Consider the following 21,618-nt stretch of genomic DNA (forward strand, 5'->3'; position numbering starts at 1 on the left):
ATACAGATCTCAGATCTCATTCCCAAAGAGGATTTATTTTATTTTTATGATTATGAACAACCTGGCACAATTCTTACTAGGGCTAGAGCATCTATTGTAAAGATGTCGGTTCTTCCCACATTAGATTGATTTGTAGATTCAGTGCATTCATCATTTCAATAGGTTTTGTGTGTGTGTGTGTGTGTGTAACTTAACGAGTTAGTTCTAAAATGTATATCCAAGTATAAAAGGTCAAGAGACCCAAAATATTTTCAAAAAAGAATGAGGTGAGAGGATTGGCCCAACCAGGATATGAAGAGTTATTATTAAAGCCGTTGTCACTAAGACAGACTGGACAGCTCAGACAAATGCATATGTGTGCGGACTTTGCACATGGGAATGGTGGTGTGGCAGGCATGGTGCTGGCATAGTTCTTTATCCATATATGAAACACATGACATTGGAGACAAAAATCGGTTCCAGATGTATTAGGCCTAAATGTGAAAGGTCTTTAAAGCCTTTAGAAAATCTTACAGGAAGATTGTTGCCATCTCAAGATAGGAAGGATTTTTTGATGTCACTAAAGGTACCAAAAAGCAGGAACCATAAAGGAAAGGATTGATTAATTGGACCACATTAAAATTAAGAACTTTTTTTCAAACGTCATCATAAAGAGATTGCAAAGACAAACTACAGAGTGTGAGAAGATAGTTGTAACACAAATAAGAAGTAGTATCCAGAGGCCAGGCGCGGTGGCTCACGCCTGTAATCCCAGCACTTTGGGAGGCTGAGGTGGGGGGATCATGAGGTCAGGAGTTCAAGACCAGCCTGGCCAACATAGGGAAGCCTTGTCTCTACTAAAAATATAAAAATTCGCCGGGCATGGTGGTGCGTACCTGTAGTTCCAGCTGCTCGGGAGGCTGAGACAGGAGAATCACTTGAACCTGGGAGGTGGAGGTTGCAGTGAGCCGAGATTGTGCCACTGCACTCCAGCCTGGGCGACAGAGTGGGACTTCATCTCAAAAAAAAAAAAAAAAAAAAAGAACTAAAGAACTAGTATCCAGAATGTACCGAGCAGTGCTGTCCAGTAGAACTTCTTGCAGTAACGGACATGTTCTCTGACTGCATTGTCCAGTATATGAAACACCAGCCATGTATGATGATTGCACATAAGAGGCAAGGTCTTACTCTGTTGCTCAGGCTGGTGCACAGTGGTGTGATCATAGCTCACTGCAGTCTCAAACTCCTGGGTTTGAGCAGTCCTCTCACTTCAGCCTCCTGAGTACATGGGATTACAGGTGTGCACCACCACGCCCAGCTTACTGATTGAGATGGGGTCTCGCTATGTTGCCCAGACTGGTCTTGAACTTCTGACCTCAAGCGAGTTTTCTGCCTCAGCCTTCCAAAGTGCTGGGATTACAGGTGTGAGCCACCACACCTTCCCTTAATTTAATTAGTTTAAACTTAATAGCCAGAAAGTCTCCCAACATGATAAGAAAAGTCTAGTAGAGAAATGGATGAAGATTCAAATAGGTTATTTCATAAGAGGAAATCCAAATAGCCAATGAGCAAATGTAAAGATGTTTAACCTCACTAGTAATCAGAGCAATGCACATTGTAACCACAGCCATCTGTCCTGTTGGAGAGGATTCAATCAGTAGGATGCAGGCAGCTAGTATTACATAGTAAAGTTGAAGAGGTGCAGCAGTTCTTCAGGTACATATTTGCCCTAGAGAAACTCCTATTTGTTTGCACCTTATTCTCTTGTACAAAAATGTTCATTATATCTGTAAACTGCCAAGAACTCAAATACCCATCAACAGAATTCATACAGCGGAAAGCTAAAGACCTACATGCATCAGCAAGAATGAATCTTGTAAACATCGTGAGGATGAAGGAAGCAATTACAAAGGCATATAGCCAATACAAGCTTAAAAAAAGACGCCAAACCGATCTGTTAATATTTAGAGAGCTGGTGTAGTGAGTCCAGAAAGAGAAGGAAATGGTTTTCACAGAAGCCAGCACACCATTTCCTCATGGAAGTTAAATTGGAGAGGGCCACAGGGACCCCTAAGGCACTGAGTGTTTTATTTCATAACCTATGTGGTGGTTACATTGATTGTTTCTTAATAATATTCTTAAACTGCATACATGCTTTGTATTGCCTATATTGGTATGATATATTTTATAACAGATCAACAACAACAAGAAGATTGACGAGGCTCTTTATATGCTGATATTTATTCACCCAAAATAAAAACAAACTCAGAGTAAAATTGGGATTGAAGGAAACTATTAAAATATCTCTAAAGCCCATTTGTCCAAAATCACCAGCAATCATCAAACTAAACAACCAGATACTGTAGCCATTTCCATTCCAAATGGGTAAACAGAAATGCTGGCCATGCCCATTCTTATTACACATTATTTGGGTGGTCACAGCTGATGCAGTGCGATGGAAAACAAAGCAGAATAAATAAATATTAGAGAACAAAAGATAATCATCTTTAAATATAGGTGATATTATTTTATACCTCAAAAACTCATGTGACTGCTCATGTAACTATTAGTAAGTGATTTTGGTTTGATATGAAGATAGAAGGCAAATATGCGGCTTTTCTCTAGCAATATTTCTGTTTTCAAATATGAAAAAATCTTATTCATAATGAAAACAAACTGTCAAATGCTTATTAATGCATTTGGTAAGAAAGACAGAACCTACGTTAGGATCGTAAAATCTATTTGAAAGAAATAACCAAGACCCTAATATATGAAGAAACATACCAGTTTCCTAACTGGAAAAACTTAATACATCCTATAAAACTGGCAGATCTCAAGTTAGTGTGTGAACATAATGTAGTCCAGTCTGAATACCAGGCCTGAGGTTTTCCTAAACCTAGGATTGGAAGTGACCCATTAGAAGAGGCAAAGTTCTGAGAGTAGCCCATCAATTTTTGAAAAAGAACACTGGTGATAAAGGACTGGCATTTGAGTTACTAAACCTGATTGTATATGCTTTATAGTCACAACAGGAGGATGCCAGTGTACAGAGTACACGACCCAGTCAGTGGAAGAAAAGAAGTCCAGAAGTGATTTGAGAGGATATGAAGGAGGAAGGGTTAATTTAATAGCTGGTACTATCCTTCTGCAGGCAAGAACCCTCTTCCTCCTCCCCACCATTAGTGAACATAAACTTCAGAATAATTAAAGTTCTAAATATGTTTTTAATTATAAAAACATACAATTCAGGAGACTATTTGAACACCCCTTTGAGTAGGAATTGTCTTCATAGGCAAGATAGGAGACCTGGGAGCTAGAACAGAAAAGATGGACAGGTGCGATAGGCTCCCTAGAAATGAGAACATTTCAGAATGACTGAGCTGCTACTCGCCAGGCCACAGCTCTGTATGTGTACACAGTTCAGGGTGTCCACAGCAGACAAGGAGTGAGGCTTCCTGGTCTTTTAGTGAGGGTCTTTAGTTGGGTAAAGTAGCAGAAATCCAAAGGAGAGGAAATGTGGATGGGCAATAAATATTAAATTATGTTCAACCTCAGTGGTAGATATGGAAATGCAAATTAAAGGGCACCATTTTTCTCTTATCACATTGGCAAAATTCTAGAACTTTTTATAACATCTAGTGCTGACAGAGAGTGGAGAAATGGCACTTTTCATACATTGCTTGTAGGAGTGTGAATTACTGTAACCTTTTTGGAAAGTTATCTCTTCATATCTGTTAAGTTAAAAATATATCTACTCCTTCATCCAATAATTTCACATTGGGTTTTGTATCTATCTTTGTTGAATAAATGAATCTATCTCAAAGAATAAAAGGATGCATATTTTGGAATACAAGTGTAAGGAAGTCCGTCTGTGTATATGTCACTTTACAGCATGCTTGTTTATCATCCATAAGGTGTAAGACTCTGTATTGTCCGTTGTGAACTTTAAAGTTGTTTTATCCAGTCACAAAAAGCCAAAAGCCAGTAGGGATTCTGCTCATTATGTATTTTGTACATATATATACACACACAGACACACACAAACACACGTGTGTGTGTGGGTGTGTGTGTGGATGTGTGTGTGGATGTATATGTACATGTGTATGCTCACATTTTGAAGGGCTAATACTGATTTCTGTAGAGAGTGTTCCCATTCTCCAGTGCTGTATAACTGACCACCCCAAAATGTACACAGTACTTGAACAACATCAGCAGCATCTGTTCTGCTCATAAATGTGCAGTGTAGGCCCAGCTCAAATGTTACCTTGTCCCTGTCCACAGAGCCAGAGCTGGGTGCTCAAGTCCTGGGCCAACATCCTGTGAGGGCTCCTCAGTCACAGCTGTGGCTGTTGGGGTGGGGAGACTCCTGCTGCCGAGCACCTGGCTCCCCACCCCTGCCTGTGTCTCCCTCTGTCCTCATGTGGCCCCTCCACTGGGGGGCTTAACACTCTAGACTTGGTGTGTGGTGTTGCACAGAGCCAGGTAGAGCCGTGTCGCCTTTCACGACTAGCCTTGGAAGTCACACAGCATCACTTCTGCCACACTGCGCTTGTTGGGGCAGTCACTGACCTGCCCAGGTTTGAGGCAGCGTGGACTCTGCCTCTTCAGGGAGTGGTAAGGGCTGGAGGAGCCAGCGGGACTGCAATTCCTGCTGGCCAATTTTATGAAACATTTTGAAACAAAGGCTAAAGCTAAATGCATATTTTTGTTGAAGCACAGCTGCAGGTTTTGCTTTGTGCTGTCTGCAAATGTCAGCAAATTGGCTTCAAATGATACCAGGGATTTTGTTCAGTGACTTGAACAACTGTTCCCCATTCCTTCGCTCACCGTAATGTGTCTTGAGGGCATCTGTGACCAGGGGACCACTGCCCAGAGAGTGGAGGTCCTGGTGAGGGAGTGTGGAGAGCAGCAGCGTGACCTTGATCTGCCCTGATTTGGAGGCGGAGCAAGTGGGTGGTGCGGCGAGGGCAGCTGGCCCGGCCTGAGCAGGTCCCAGCCTCTCAGCACTTTGGGCCCTGACGCCATCTTTCTAATGCCCCTCTCGCTCTTGTTTTCTCTGACTTTTCACTTTTTTCCTGTTTGTATCAGAGGGCTACTGGTGGACCCCAGTGGTGGTCTGGTGAGCTGTTTCTCACTCAGGGTTTACCGACACTGTAGAACAATGCTGGGGACGAACAGCACGGACCATTTCAGACTTGGAAACGTAATTCAGAGGTGGGCTTTGGGAGGGCTTTCTACCACGGCTCCCACCCCTGATGTGAGCTGCCATGTACTGTGCTGCCAAGGGTACAGGGCCAGCTGTTTGATCATCACCCTTCATGCGGATGGTGAATGAGAGGCAGGGCTGGGTGATGTGGGGAGAGGAGAGCACGGAAGTGGATGTTGCCCTTAACCCACAGCATTTATGCGTCTATCACTGACTTCCAGATTAAAGGCTCTTTGATAGAGGGTATGCAACAGATGAGAAATGTAAGCTGTTTTCAATGGACTTTTTCATAATTGGAAAAGCAAATTGTTCACATAAGGTATTCCCATAAAATTGTGTTTCAGGAATAGACCCATCTCTGCAAGCAGAGAATAGAATTCCTGGGCCCTCACAAACCACGGCCGCTGCACCCAAGCAGCAGAAGTCTCGGCCCACCGCCTCGAGGGATGAGCGCTTCCGGTCAGGTAGGGTCACAGCCTAGGCAGTGGGGAAGGTGGACGGGCCTGGAGCCCTTGGACTCTTGCCATGAAGTCTTCCAGTTATTTTTCCTTTGCCACAATATCTGCCAAAGAAATTATTTTCACATAAGCAGTAATGTACATCATCATATTTTTTTCAAGAAAAACATTTAACCTTCACGTAACCACAGTCTGTTTTAATGTATGGTGTAGCTTTAGTGGCACTTTCTTAGGGGATGCCTACAAAACTCTCTAGAGAAGTCTTCTTCTCACTCTTACTAGAATAATTTCTTTAAAACTTTTGTACACTTTTTACTTTGAAGTTGATACTAATAATTTTTGTGCTTTATGGAGCAGCTTTACTGCTAGGTGCAGGTGTTTTAGTATTTCTTTTTCTAATTTTGGAGATTTCCTTCCAATTAGATTTCTGCCACTCTGTTTGGCAGTGCTTTTATGAATATTTAAATTTGTCTCTGATGTTTTACTTGAATCAATAGAATGGCCATTGAAAAAAATTCACATTTTCTATTATAGTTTATATATTAATAACTTGAGCACGTTATCTATTTAATATTTTCACCACTGTGTGGTTGTATATTTTCTTCACATTTAAGCTCTTTTGACAGGCCTTTTTCAGAAAAAATTTTAATAGGGATAATGGTTGTTTTAAGAATACTGAAAACAAAGATTAAGATTTTAAATGTTTTTTCAACAGGGAGTGTAAAGAAATAGTCTAAGAAATATTCGAACAGATAATGTCTTACCAATTTGATACACATTTATAAAAAACTTTATCATGTGGCAAACAGCTTCTTCTCTGATTGTATAAATAATATATGCTTAGTGTTAAATATATAAAAAATATTATACCAAATTTAAGGACAAAGTTAAAAATCACCTGATACCCCTGAATCCTGAGATGGCCGCCCTCAGCATTTCACTGAGCACTGTTGTCCTCATGCCTGGATGCAGATGCACGCACACATGTGTACTTTCCATGAGAGTGGTCCTAGAAAAGGTCTCCTCCTTTCTGCCGCTCCTTATTTTCTACATGTCCCAGCTCTTCTCCCCAACCCTGTTCCCTGCTCATGGAAGTGATGTTAATAAACTGGTTTCTGCCCTTGTGAAGTTTATACTAGGTGTATTCTTTATCTTTTGAATACAGGTCTTTTATCATAAATATGATTTGCCAATATTTTCTCTCAGGCTGTGATTTGTCTTTGTGTTTCTTTAAAGTATCTTTTGAAGAGCAGAAGTTTTTAATCCTGATGAAGTCTAAGTTATCATTTTTTTAAATTGATAGTGCTTTTGTTCTTGTGTTTAAGATATCTTTGCCTAACCCAAGATTACAAAGATTCTCTCTTGTGTTTTCTTGTACAAGTTTTGTAGTTTTAGGTTTTTTAGTGCCATTTTAGTGCCCTTAAGTTTGTGATCTTTTTTTTTAGTTAATTTTAGTGTAAGTACAAGGTATGAATCAAAAGTTTACTTTTTTGCATGGAGGTAGTCAGCTGTTCCTGGGCCATTCCTTAAGCCTATGCTTTCTCCAGAGAATTCCCTTTGCACTTTTTTCTAAAAGCAGTTGCACATAAATGCGCGCATCTATTTCTGGACTCTCTGTTCTGTTCTATTGATCTATTCGTCTGTCTTTATGGCAAAACAGTGTTCTCTTGATGATCATACCTTAATAATAAGTGTTAAAATCAGTAGTGTTAGTCCTTCAACTTTGTTTCTTATCTGTGTTCTGTTGTATCTAATGTGTCTTTTTTCCTTCTTGCACCTTTAAGATTTTTCTCTTTATCACTGTTCTGTGGGCTCGATTATATCCTCTCTGAAATTCCTATATTGAAGCCCTAACCCCGGTGGGATGCTATTTGGAGTTTGGTCCTTTGGGAGGTAATTAGGTTTAGATGAGATCATGAGGGTGGGGCCCTCACGGTGGGATCGGTGCCCTTATAAGAAGAGGCATTGGCCAGGCGTGGTTGTTCACGCCTGTAATCCCAGCACTTTGGGAGGCTGAAGCAGGCGGAGACCAGCCTGGCCAACATGGCAAAACCCCATCTCTACTAAAAATACAAAAATTAGTCAGGTGTGATGACACATGCCCATAGTCCTAGGTATTCTGGAGACTGAGGCATGAGAATCGCTTGAACCGGTAGGTGGAGGTTGCAGTGAGCCAATATTGCCCCACTGCACTCCAGCCTGAGTGAGACTCTGTCTCAAAAAAAAAAGGAAGAAAAAAAAAAGAGGCACTAGAGCTTGCTGGCCCCCGCCCTGCCCCATCAACCTATGAGTACAATGGTTAGAAGGCAGATGTCTGTAAGCCAGGAAGAGAGCCCTCACCGGACACCAACCATGAGGCACCTTGATCTTGGACATACAGTCTCCAGTAAGAAAAATTTGTGTTGTTTAAGCCACTTAGTTTATGCTGTTTTGTTATGGCAACTGAGCAGACTAAGATGCTGGTGTTGAGTGATTTGATTATGATGCACGTGGGCTGGTTTTGTTTCTTGTGCTTGGGGTTTGTTGAGTATTTTTGGATCTGTTGATATACCCTATCAGGTTGATATTATCTATATTTTTAGTTCTAGGTTGTTTTTAATCTATACTTATTTTCCTTTTTTTCTAAGACAGCAATAATGTTTAGGGGAATCACAGTAACTTCCAAATCCATCACAAGGGTCTCAGTTTGTTTCTTGCTCTCTTTTCGTGAGTGCCTTTTTCCATGAGTGTTTTCAGTTAAGTCCTTGTGTGGAAATGCTTTTCGAACCTTGTATGTCTGATAATATTTTTATTAAATATTCATATTTAAATGATAATTTGGCTGGATATAAAATTCTAGGTTTAACACTTTTTGTCTTCAAAACTATTGCTTTTTTGTGCCTGGTGTTACTACTGAGTATTGTCAGTCTGTTTCTTGATCTTTCAAGGTGATTTACCTTTTTCTCTGGAAGCTTTTAGAATTGTTCTGTGTCTTTGATATCCATGAATTTCCTTTATCATATGTCTAGGTGTGAATTCTTCACCTTTCCTGAGTAGGAAAAGGTTTAACCTGGCCCTACAAGCCATTTAAATGTGAGATTTTTAAATGTTTTCAGACATTTGTTGGGGAAAATTGAAGCGTCTACAAAACTGGCCATCATTGTATTATAGCTCCCCTGGACCCATAGTCGAGCTCCAGAAATTCTGGGCCATCCATGCCCTGCCTTGGATTAATCTATACTCTACCTGCTTCCTCCCTTCCCATATGGTTTCATAGCAAATCTCGGATATGTTATTTCATTTAGATGTCATAATATTCTCGATCTCTGTCATTTTGATGTCGTAATAGTCTTGGTTTCTGTATCTGAAAAGATTGTATTTCTAAAAGATAATGCCATTTTCACAAAGTAATTAACAATAAATACTTCCTTAATAGCAAATATTCAGCCAATGTTCATATGGCTTTTGCTCGTATGGCTTCTAAGGAACAAGTTTATTTGGACCCAGGATTCAAATAAGAGCTACACATTGCAGTTGGTTGGTAAGTGTTTTCAGCCTCTATGAACCTTAGTTTGTAGGAGAAGCTGAGCTGTGTTTGTCTGATGGTTCCTCTTGGTGTCTCTGACATGCTTTTTAGGTCACTAGGTTTGATGAAAGTCAGGTTACAACGTTCAGCTGTTTACAAGACTGTCATGGGTGGCCCTGTGTTCCTCCACCAAGAGGCCTGTTGGGCCTGACTCTTGGCTGTTCACTGTGGTGCTTGAAAACCAGTGATTTTTCTCAGTTCTTAGATTGATTTCCTTTGGGCTGCAAAATGGTGAAATTTAGATTCTGACATTCCTTCTTCACTCAAAGGCCAGAATATTTCCGTAAAGAGAAACTTCTGTTATTTACAACTTGGTACAGGAAAGAAAGTCAAGATGAATATTTAATTCTTTCCATTTATTTACTAGTTTTCAGAACAATAGGTTGAGTCACTGGCCTCCTCCAATGGCAACCAATTGATTGCGTTTCCTCTTTTCCTTTTTCTTCTTTTCTTCTGTCAGTATCATATTTGATGTTTCAGTCCATTTTAGTATTTATTCTTACCGATATTCAGATTGTCCCATTCTTCGCCATTGGGAATCTCTTCAAATTGGCTCGAGTTGTTTGACCATTTCCTGGTTGGCTGTTAGGATAAGAAGTTCTAGGTTCATCCTGGGCATTTCTCCCCTGCTCCAGAATCTGCCATTTCTAAGGGTTTTTTTTAAGTGAGGATGGTGTTTCAAGACCACAGTCTGGGCACTAGGATGCTGATTGCTATTGGGCTGATTGTTGTTTGTAGACATTTTCACTGTACAGAGGTAAGACAGACTTTTAAAAGACAGGATACCACATTTGTTTGTAGTGACATAATCTATTCAGATTCAGAACTGCAGGGTCTGTACTTCATCTCTCTCTCTCCCTCCCTCCCTTCCCTCCATCCCTCCCTCTTTCTCTTTCGCTTTTTCTCTTCTCTTCTCTTCTCTTCTCTTCTCTTCTCTTCTCTTCTCTTCTCTTCTCTTCTCTTCTTTCTCTCTCTCTCTCTCTCTCTCTCTCTCTCTCTCTGTTTTTGAGATGGAGTTTCACTCTTCTTTCCCAGGCTGGAGTGCAATGGCGTGATCTCGGCTCACCACAATCTCTGCCTCCCGGGTTCAAACGATTTTCCTGCCTCAGCCTCTCAAGTAGCTGGGATTACAGGCATGCACCACCATGCCCGGCTAATTTTGTGTTTTTAGTAGAGACAGGGTTTCTCCATGTTGACCAGGCTGGTCTGGAACTCCCGACCTCAGGGGATCCGCTCACCTCGGCCTCCCAAAGTGCTGGGATTACAGGCATGAGCCACTGTGCCCATCCTCTCTCTCTCTTTCTTTTCTTCCTTCCTTCCCTTTCTTTCCTTCTTTTTCTCTTTTTCTTTCTTGGGTTCTCACTCTGTCACCCAGGCTGGAGGCAGTGGTACAGGCATAGCTTACTGCACCTTGGAACTCCTGGGCTCAAGTGATCCTCCAGCTTCAGCTTCCTGAGTAGCTGGGACCACAGGCGCATGCCACTGCACCTGCCTAATTAAACAAAAAAAATTGGGCCAGGTGCGGTGGCTTACACCTATAATCCCAGCACTTACAGAGGCCAAGGCGGGCGGATCACCATGTCAGGAGTTCAAGACCAGCTTGGCCAACATAGTGAAACCCCATCTGTACTAAAAATATAAAAATTAGCCGGGCGTGGTGGGGGGTGCCTGTAATCCCAGCTCCTCGGGAGGCTGAGGCAGGAGAATTGTCTGAACCCGGGAGGCGGAGATTGCAGTGAGCTGAGATCACGCCATTGCATTCTAGCCTGGCGACAGATCGAGACTCCATCTCAAAAAAAAAAATTTTTTTTTCAGAAATGTGGTCTTGCTGTGGTGCACAGGCTGGTCCTGGCCTCAAACGATCCTCCTGCCTCAGCCTCCTAGAGCGCTGGGATTACAGGCATGAGCCACTGTGTCCAGCCTACCTCTTTCATCTACATTTGTATCTCCTCTCCCTCATGAGTGTCCAAGCTCTAGCTATGGTAGAATCAGACTATTAAGTGCTTTTCATTTGCCATATCCCACAGGACTCACGAAGAATCTATATGACAATGCCTTCACTGCTATCAACAATATGAGAGAGTTTAAAAGTTTTTGTTCAGTTATTTTTGTCCTTATTAGATATTTCTGGAAGTAGAGGTTGACCAGTCTAACTTCAGTGTTTTAAAGTCAGCTGCAATAGTTTAAACCAGGGGTGTCCAATCTTTTGGCTACCTTGGGCCACGTTGGAAGAAGAATAATTATCCTGGGCCACACATAAAATACACTAACACTAACGATAGCTGATAAGCTAAAAAAAATTGCAAAAAAATCTCATAATGTTTTAAGAAATTTTACGAATTTGTATTAGGCTGCATTCAAAGCCCTCCTGAGCCATATGAGGCCCATGGGCCACGGGTTGAACAAGCATGGTTTAAACCAACAACTAGATACACATTTAGGCTCATTTGTTTCACTTTATTTTCAATTTTGGGGATTTCTCTTTTATTCAGTTTTGATTTATAACTAAGGAAATATTTACAAGATTCCAAAGTTAGATCTACAAACAAAGAAATATTTAAAGAAATCTAGGACCAACATGTGAGGATAGACAGAGAGAGCTTCTATTCCTTTTACCCCCACTGAAAACAAACAAAAACATGAAACTTAATTTGTTACTTTATAAACAGTCTTGTAAAAAGTATTTTTACTGCTGTCCTTCCTGTGTAGATGTCCACACTGAAGCCGTGCAAGCAGCTTTGGCCAAATACAAAGAGAGGAAGATGCCTATGCCTTCGAAGAGACGTTCTGTCCTTGTGCATTCGTCTGTGGAAACCTACACCCCTCCAGGTATTGATAAACAATGTCAAGTGTGGCTTTTTTTTGAGTGTTTCACAGGCCTGATGTTATCCTATTTACTTCCCATTGAGTTGGAATATCCGTCTGGCCTGTAGTATAGATTGGACGCATTTGGAGATTAAAAATGTTTGCATATGCTCGTATTCCTTACCTGAAAATCTATGGTGTACATAGTATTCTTACCCAAATGGGTACTTGCTTTCTATAAGACTTTTTGTGTGGATCTTAATTTCTTTTACTAAGATGCTATTTATGTCTTTTAGTAAAGAGAAGAACCTAAAGCACTAAGAGGAGCCTAAAATAAGCACTAAGCTAAAGCTTCCTGAATTAGGAATTTTACAGTTATTGTCATCTTATTACCTATAACTTAACAGGTTGTAACCAGGACTTATATGCAACAGTATAAGACTATTTGGAAAGTTTTGCGGTTGATTTTGTTGTTGTTTTATTGTTGGTACCATTAGAAATGAAAACTTTTATATGAGGTTTCTCTCTAGCAATAATGTATTTTAGTCTTCCTGTTAAACTGTACAAGATGTCGATAGTGTCTAATGACTTCACATTCATGAACTTGCATTGTTGTCATATATTTAAAGTATCAAAAATAGTGACACCCATTTTTGGTTTGAGGTATTTGGAGATACTACACAATAAAACCAAACACACCAGATTCGTAAGATGATTTAGTGGTTTTGGTAACACTTTCTTGCTTAAAAGAAGTTTATTGTTGAAAAAAATCTTAGAAATGGCTGTCAAATTATTGTTTTTGCTAAATATAGCTATAGACACTATCCAATTTTAAAATAATGTTTTAATAATTGTAAAACCCATAATGAAACACACAGTCATGCTGACTTGAAGAAACCTTAATGTACAGTTAATTTTGTTGTCTGAAGCAATTTTCTCGGAGAAGGAATTGTTTTTAGGGCTAGTTCACATGACTCCCCTGAAAGGATGCATGTAGACAGGGCTGCGGTTCTCCCATGGCCACCATGTTGTTGCTGGGGCCATGCACAGGCCAGGATGCCTTCTCACTGCCTCCAAGATGTAGGGCCGGGCACAGGCTCTCCCCTGGGTGATGCTGACTGATGTGTGGATATGGTGTCCGACTCTGTGGACATGCAGTGCAGCACTGAATATTCACAGAACACCCCCACTGAGGTATATGCTGAAGCCGTTTAGGAGATCAGAGGCTGTCTTCACTGAGTGTGTCTGGTACCCTGTGGCTGAGTTCTCTCTGGGGAGCTGGGGGCTCATGGAATCATTTTCCCCACAGTAGGGCTTCTTGCATGCCCTTCTAGATTGAGGGTGACCTTTGAGCTGACTGCGTGGCTTTGGGCAGAGCTGTGCCAGGTGTACAGAAGCATGCTGCACACAGGTCTGGGAGGCTCCAGTGTGAGTGGGAACTCCGTCCTCCTCTTGACTCATCCCGATATCATGCCTGTCATCGTTATTTTAACCACAGACACGTCGTCTGCCTCAGAAGATGAGGGCTCTTTACGGCGACCCGGGCGACTCACCTCCACTCCGCTCCAGAGCCATTCCAGCGTCGAGCCCTGGCTCGACCGGGTCATTCAGGGCTCGTCCACCTCATCCTCTGCATCCTCCACCTCATCTCACCCGGGAGGGAGACCCACCACTGCTCCCAGTGCTGCAGCCACGCCGGGGGCCGCCGCTACCACTGCACTCGCAGGCCTCGAGGCCCACACCCACATAGGTCAGTAATAAGCTGCTGCGGCCCCTGTGCCAGCAGAGCGGGGTCAGGAGTGTCCAGGACAGAGGAGCAGATGGAGGGCACCTGAGCCAGGCGCCACCCTGCAGACTTAGCTGCAGGCCTGAGTGCTCTCCAAGTGACTGAGGTCACACAACCCAGATAACCCATACTGGCTTATCTGCCTGAGACATTAAATTGATTTTGAGCTTTTAATAATTGCACTTGAAAGAAATGGGCTAATATTTGGTTAATTCATCATTCAGATTAAATCCCTAATAACCTTTTGAACAATACAGCTCAGTTGCAAATTTTTTCCCCCATCAAGACCTACGTATTTTTCATCTGGGAAATGTCCTTTTGGTAACAAAAGTAGTTGTTGATACTTCTTTAATTTGGCAGTCCTAGTCCTTTGGGGCATGGGGCATTTCTCATAGTCCCCCAGAAGGGTGTGGTGTTTCTCAGTGTCATAACACCTTCCTGCTCTTGAGGGGAAGCTGGTGCATGCAGTAGGTGCAGGGGTAGATGGTCAGCACACATCCATACCTGCTGGTGGCTGTGATCATCACCCTTGACCTGGCCGCCTCTCTGTTGTCTGTGCCTTTCCTCTTGGCTATGTGTTCACAGCTGCAGGCCCATTGGTTGTCTCTGTACCTGGCTGGAATTCTGAGGTTGGGGTAGAGGGCTTTCGCTCCTCCAGATACCAGGTTAGACAGCCTTTGGCCTGAAAAGGTGTCAGTCAGAGCTAATCATATGATGCATGGATCTTTCCCAAATCATGGAATCCTTTAAATTACATTCATCTTAGAGATGAAAAAAGTGTAAACCTTTCATCCTTTGAAATTCTATTTTTTAACTAAAACAGCAGCATAGTTAGCTGTATGTAGCTGGCATGTGAAACCCACATACACTCTTGCACAAGTACCTTAAAATACAATCAGTATTGTTGAAGACTCATCTTAATCCCCTCCTTTTTTTCCCAGATGAGGAAGGAAGAAAAAAAAGTCCAGCGATTGTAACTTGCTTGAGATCAGACAGCAGCCTTAAGTGGTGAAGCCAGGGCTGATACCAGTTTTCTTGATTCCTATTCATTTTCTTTGCTTTTTGTTGCTTTTCTGCCAAAACTGAAAGGTGACACCTGTGACACGCTGGTGTTTGTGCTGGGGTCCCCATGGGTGCCGAGCTCTTTTTTGTAAGACCTCGGTCATTTGGCTGGACTGGGGGCAAGTTGGGTATGTTGGGTGGCCCACAGCTTCTGTCTCATCATCCTCTGTAGTGTGCATCACTGTTGCTCTTCATGTTTTTGTTTGTTTGAGTCAGCACATCTCTTGTGTTTCCATTGAACATGTGTCCTTCTTCTGAGGCGTCCGTCTCAGATGAAAGCTCACAGTGCCCTGCTCTGTCTCCACACTGCTTCCAGCTCATAAAGGAACTGCCAAGACTACAAGGGTAGCAGCAGGCAGCATTTTCCACAGAGAAAGTTTCTCTTAGGAAAACAGCCTGCTCAGATTGTTTCTGTAGCTTTCCTGGGTGTTCCATGGCCAGAGGCTGCTGCCCACCTTTCCTCAAGGTGGTGTACAGTCCATATCTTGAAAACAGCTTTTGCACTGTTGTTTGCCTTCTCTGTTCATCGTTGGTGATTTAACTTTGTAGAAATACATAGTTAACTCCAATTCTGAGGCAGGGGCAGGAAAACAGTAGTTTTAAATGTTCTGTTACCTCATTTCTTCTCCCAGAAGCTCCTTTCTAGGTGAGATGGTGCAGGAGAGCAAACAAAACATTTGTAGTTTGAGTTTATTAGCCATTGCTGAGTCATCTCAACACTGTTTCCGGGTGGGTTAGAAATAAAAGCTTATTCAGCATGAAAAATTAGCCACAGTTCAGAATGTTTAACCGTACAGCCCTCAACTTTCCAGTGATTGTGGGGTGTCTTTAAGCAAAGCATTGAACTCTAATGTGTGTTTGAATTAGATGTTTTCATTCTCTGAAAAGGACTTGGCTGCAATTATTTATAATGTAGGTTTATTACCTATGTTGGTGGAAGACAGCTCCTGACTCCTGCAGATGCAGCTGTAATCATCTCTTCCTTTCTTGTTAGTCCTAGCATCAACATTTTGTGATCAATTCTAATACATTTAAAAAAAATTCTTAACTTGGACTTGATTTAATACTTTGCTTACAGGATTGCAATTTTCTACAGATTGTAGCTACCCACATCCTAAATGTTGGACATAGTTAATTTGAATTTCTAAATCTCAAAAATACTCAACTTCCCTCTTATGACAGAAATCATCCTTTGTTTTAGTTTCTAACACTAGATGTGTCTTCAATTTAAACTAAGGAAAGAAACATGAAAAGAGGAAGAATATATTAAGTAAAAAATTCGAGGTAGAACATATCAGGTAAAGATAATTTTTAAAAATATATCACTTTCAGTTTTGGATTAAGGAAATCAAATACATTAAGCCTTTTTTATACAAATGTAAATACCTATTTTTAAAAGCAGTACTTTTAATTATAGTAGCTTCTTTTAATTATAGTAGCTTATTTTTATTTTGAATGTAGTTTATGTTTATTTTTATGCAGCTTTTTTTTTTATTTTTCCACCTAGAGACAGGGTCTTGCTCTGTCACCCACGCTGGAGTACAGTGGCATGATCATAGGTCACTGCAGCCTTGAACTCCTGGGCTTAAGAAATTCTCCCACCTTAGCCTCCTGAGCAGCTGGGACTATAGGCAAATGCCAGCATGCCTAGCTAATTTTTAAAAATTTTTTGGAAAGATGGAGTTTTTACTGTGTTGCCCAGACTGGGCTTGAACTCCTGGGCTCAAGTGATCCTCATGCCTTGGCCTTTCAAAATGTTAGGATTATAGGAATGAGCCACTGCTCCCAGCCATTATATAGCTGTTTTAAAAAACTACTTGTAGTACATGTATGTATACCATGTATACCTTTTTTTCCATATATACTTTTAAAATCATTTATTCTTTTTGCTAGATTTGGAAGAGTGGGGAAATTTCTTTTTAAACTAAAAGAACCTCCTGATAGACATACTTTAAAATGCTAATTTGATCAGCATCAGGCTTTTTCAAGGGTTGTGAAAAATCTTAACGGTTTAGATTTTTTCAAAAGGTATATTCTGCTATGCAGACAGTGAGTTTGTGCTTTCATATACTTCAGCTTTCTACAAACCTAGTAAAAAGTTACTGCTTTACATTGTACCTAGGAGTACCACAGTGATACTAACAGGTACCTTCATTAAAATATTAAACATTACCAGTTGTCTCTACCTAACATAGACTAGTGTTTATTTATTTATTTTTTTGGAGATAAGATCTCACTCTGTGGCCCGGGCTAGAGTGCAGCGGTATGGTCCTAGCTCACTGTAACCTGGAACTTCTGGGCTCCAGTGGTCCTTTCACCTCAGCCTCCTAAGTAGCTGGGACCACAGGTGTCCACCACCATGCCCAGCTAATTTTTTTTTTTAAGAGATGGGAGCTCACTATGTTGCCCAGGCTGATCTCAAATTCCTGGGCTCAAGTGATCCTCCTGCCTCAGCCTCCCAAAGTGCTGGGATTATAAGTGTGAGCCACTGCACAGCTAGTGTTGATTTTTTTTTTTTTTTTTTTTTTTTTTTTGTGACAGGGTCTCACTCTGTCCCCCAGGCTGGAGTGCAGTGGTGCAATCTTGGCTCACTGCAACCTCCACCTCCCGGGTTCAAGCGATTCTCCTGCCTCAGCCTCCCGAGTAGCTGGGATTACAGGCATGCACCACCACGCCTGGATAATTTTTGTATTTTTAGTAGAGACAGGGTTTCACCGTGTTGGCCAGGCCATTCTCGAACTCCTGACCTCAGCTGATCTGCCCGCCTTGACCTTCCAAATTGCTGGGATTACAGGTGTGAGCTACCATGTTGGCCCCTATGTTGATTCTTATAAATGGGCGAGCATCTGTGTATTCATTGTTGTGGTAGAACACAATTTCTATAGTCATATAGACACAGTGCCTTTCCTAGTGGTAGACCCAATTATAACCATAATTCCTATAGGAACTTACAGTCAGCCAGCATTCTGAACAGATAGATGGACTGTACCATGGAAATAAAACACAAAAATGTACATTCAGACAATGGAAGGAGTGACTTTTACATATGTTCCAGATCTAATGTCTGTTTTTAAATGTTACACCAATTCTACTTTAAGAACTTGATTGTGGCCAGGCGCGGTGGATCACACCTGTAATCCCAGCACTTCAGGAGGCCGAGGTGGTTGGATCACTTGAGTCCAGGAGTTCAAGACCAGCTTGGCCAATATGGTGAAAACCCGTCTCTACTAAAAATACAAAAATTGGCTGGGTGTGGTGGCACATGCCTGTAATCCCAGCTACTTGGGGGACTGAGACAGGAGAATTGCTTGAACTCAGGAGGCAGAGGTTGCAGTGAGCCAAGATTGTGCCACTGCACTCCAGTCTGGGCAGTGATAAAGTGAGACTCCATCTCAAAAAAAAAAAAAAAAAAGGAACTTGATTGTGGTCTCTTAGTTTTGCAGCTGTTTTAACTGGCAGTGGGGGAAGTTTTAATTTCTGTAGTTTTATTCTTTTAGGACTGCAAAGGTTTGGTGTCCAACATACTTTTTTGGGGGTTGTAGTAGTTTGTATGATCCTGGCTGTTTTTTTCATAATGTAACAAAAAAATGTACCAGTGACAATTGATTTCAAATTTGTTTCTGCTTCCTTGAGGGAATTTCTTCCTTCCTTCCTTCCTTCCTTCCTTCCTTCCTTCCTTCCTTTCTTTCTTTCTTTCTTTCTTTCCTTTCTTTCTTTCTTTTTCTTTCTTTCTTTTTCTTTCTTTCTTTCTTTTCTTTCTTTCTTCTTTCTCTTTCCTTCCTTCCTTCCTTCTTTCTTTCTTTTTTCTTTTTGAGAGAGAGTGTCGCTCTGTTGCCCAAGTTAGAGTGCAGTGGTGCAATCTCAGCTCACTGCAACCTCCGCCTCCTGGGTTCAAGTGATTCTCCTGCCTCAGCCTCCCCAGTAGCTGGGATTACAGGCATGTGCCACGACGCCCGGCTGATTTTTGTATTTTTAGTAGAGACGGGGTTTCGCCATGTTGGCCAGGCTGGTCTCGAACCCCTGACCTCAGGTGATCTGCCTATGTCAGCCTCCCCAAGTGCAGGGATTACAGGTGTCAGCCACCATGCCCAGCCCCTTGAGGGAATTTCTAACCAAAATCTCATCAGGCCATTGTGACAGGCAGGTTTACTCTGTGCCTGCCTCTGTGCTGAAGATGGTGGTTCTGAGTCTGGATCCCTTTGAGAATTGAGCCACCCACATGCACGCAGATGTCTGCATAACGTGTCTGGGAGTTCATAGGGTCCCAGTATGCCTTTGGTCAGCCAAGAAAACAAATTAATGAAAATACCACACTCTCCCCACTTAGAACTCAGCTAGTGGAGCTTTAGACTAACGGGGTTTCAAGAGCAGCTTAATACTCATTTGACTTAACAGCCACTTTCATTTTGGGTGTGTTTTTCAAAAGCAGATCTGCATTCTGCCCCTCCTGATGTCACCACGGGCCTCGTGGAGCATTCGTACTTTGAGCGTCCACAGGTGGCTTCTGTGAGAAGTGTTCCTCGGGGGTGCAGCGGGAGCATGCTGGAAACAGCAGATGGTGAGCCTGCCTCTCTTTCTCCTCGTGAAATAGCAGAACACAGGTTTTGTCTTTGGGTATTGAACACAGCTTTAATGTATTCACTGTAGCAAACCCAAGCCAAACGTCAGTTTTAATCCATGCAGATAAATAGAAACCAGTGTGTGCAGTTAATGTTATAGAAAGCATCATGTGGAGAAATAATTGGAAATATCAATGGAATTGGTCAGAGGGGAAACGAGGAGAGTGGGGAGGGAAAAGACTTCCAAATTTAGATAGGATGCAAAGGGCGTTTCGATCTGCAATATAGTAGGGAAATGAGAAGCTGTGGGAAGTTTCTTTATTTAGATTCAATGTGGCAGACAGAATGACTTAGTCAGTGCGAGTGCACACACCCACCTATGACAGAACAGCCCCCTACACTCTCCATCTTCAGCAGACTGTGAAATCGGTGCAACAGCAATCATGGTTTCCCATGTGCAGGCTCAGAGATGTCAGTGTAACTTTCATAATGTCCTCATTTACACCATTTCTTTTTGAAACAGTCTTCAATGTCTTTTATCAAAATCATGTCAATTTTTTTCCCAAAATAATAATTTAAATAAAAATTAAGAGGAGCTCAGAGCTAGGGCCTATCATATATGTTGGTACTCCCAAACAGAGTGTCAGATTTTGTTGAGGGCTTTCATCTCCTTGTCCAGAGGCAGAAGAAAAATACTGAATCAACATGAAGCAGTCTGTACATTGGCTAGACATGTATTTAATTCAATTTATTACTCTTTATATTTAAAAAAATTAAGAGCTTAATTAAAGGGTAATTGACATAATGAATTGCACATATTTAAAGTGTACAGTTTCGGCTGGGCGCGGTGGCTCACACCTGTAATCCCAGCACTTTGGGAGGCTGAGGCGGGCAGATCACTAGGTCAGGAGATCGAGACCATCCTGGCTAACGTGGTGAAACCCCATCTCTACTAAAAATACAAAAAAATTAGCCGAGTGTGGTGGCGGGCGTCTATAGTCCCAGCTACTCGGGAGACTGAGGCAGGAGAATCGCTTGAACCCGAGAGGCGGAGGTTGCAGTGAGCCAAGATTGTGTCACTTCACTCCAGCCTGGGCGATAGAGTGAGACTCCTTTCTCAAAAGTTTTAAGACATTTGTACAGCTGTGGAAAGCATCACTACAATCAAGATAGTGACCATATCCAGCACGCCCAAAAGTGTCCTTGTGTTCCTTGGTCCTCCTCTCTTCGGATCCTTCTGGCTTTCCCCATACACTTCAGGCAGCCACCGATTTACTTTCTGTCACTATAGATTAGATTGCATTTTCTAGAATTTTATATAAAAGGAATCATACAGCGTTTACGTTTATGGTCTGCCTTCTACCACTCTCCATAATTATTTTGAGATTCATTCATGTTCTGTATCAATAGTTTACTCCTTCTCATTGAGTAATATTTCATTAAATGGATGCACCACAATTTGGCTGTTCACCTGTTGATGTGTATTTAGGTTGTTTCTAGTTTGGGCCGGTTACAAGTAAAGCTGCTATGAATAATCAATCTTGTATACGTTTTTGCATAGATGGGTACTTTCATTTCTTTTGGGTCAATACCTAGAAGTAGAATGGCTGAATTATATTGTAGGTGTATTTCACCTTTTTTTTTGGAGACTGAGTCTCACTCTGTTGCCCAGGCTAGAGTGCAGTGGCATGATCTTGGCTCACTGAAACCTCGCCATCCTGGGTTCAAGCGATTCTCCTGCCTCACCCTCCCAAGTAGCTGGGATTACAGGCATGTGCCACCACGCCCAGTTAATTTTTGCATTTTCAGTAGAGATGGGATTTCACCATGTTGTCCAGGCTGGTCTCAAACTCCTGGCCTCAAGTGATCCACCTGCCTTGGCCACCTAAAGTACTGGGATTATAGGTGTGAGCCACCATACCCAGCCTATTTTAACTTTTTAAGAAACTGCCACGCTGTTTTCCAAAGTGATTGTACCATTTTACATTCTCATTATTAGTAGTGAGAGTATCAGTTCCTCCACACCCTTTCCAACAGTTGGTATTATGTTTAAAAAATTTCAGCCATCCCAATAGGCATGTAGAGATATCTCATTACAGTTTCAATTTGCATTTCCCTAACGGCTGATGGTGTGTTGAACATCTTTTTATGCACCTATTTGCCATCTGTGTATCTCTTGAGGGAAAGTATCTGTTCAT

At 41.8% G+C, this 21,618-nt stretch overlaps 1 protein-coding gene across 30 annotated transcripts in view, besides 1 other annotated feature; it reads left to right on the forward strand.

Annotated features, from left to right (window-relative positions):
• DIP2A (disco interacting protein 2 homolog A) overlaps positions 1–21,618 on the forward strand; it is a 124,981-nt gene that overhangs the window by 26,180 nt on the left and 77,183 nt on the right. For 8 of the 30 annotated variants that reach the window (NM_001353943.2, NM_001410751.1, NM_015151.4 and 5 more), the window contains exons 3-6: positions 5,530–5,649; positions 11,918–12,037; positions 13,512–13,763; positions 19,291–19,419. In NM_001353943.2, the coding sequence (NP_001340872.1) occupies positions 5,530–5,649; positions 11,918–12,037; positions 13,512–13,763; positions 19,291–19,419 (621 nt within the window). Of the gene's footprint in view, positions 1–5,529; positions 5,650–9,058; positions 9,164–11,917; positions 12,038–13,511; positions 13,764–19,287; positions 19,420–21,618 lie in introns of all 30 variants that reach the window. The other 22 variants (XR_007067785.1, XR_007067784.1, XM_047440714.1 and 19 more) reach the window with 7 other exon arrangements.
• Positions 15,362–15,501: an enhancer, noted in NCBI's record as "active region_18606". NCBI's record gives its function as "activates an Ori minimal core promoter by ATAC-STARR-seq in GM12878 lymphoblastoid cells {active_cell/tissue: GM12878}" and the evidence as "EXISTENCE:reporter gene assay evidence [ECO:0000049][PMID:35858748]".

The sequence above is a fragment of the Homo sapiens genome, chromosome 21 (assembly GCF_000001405.40).
Source record: "Homo sapiens chromosome 21, GRCh38.p14 Primary Assembly".
Taxonomy (NCBI): Eukaryota; Metazoa; Chordata; class Mammalia; order Primates; family Hominidae; genus Homo; species Homo sapiens.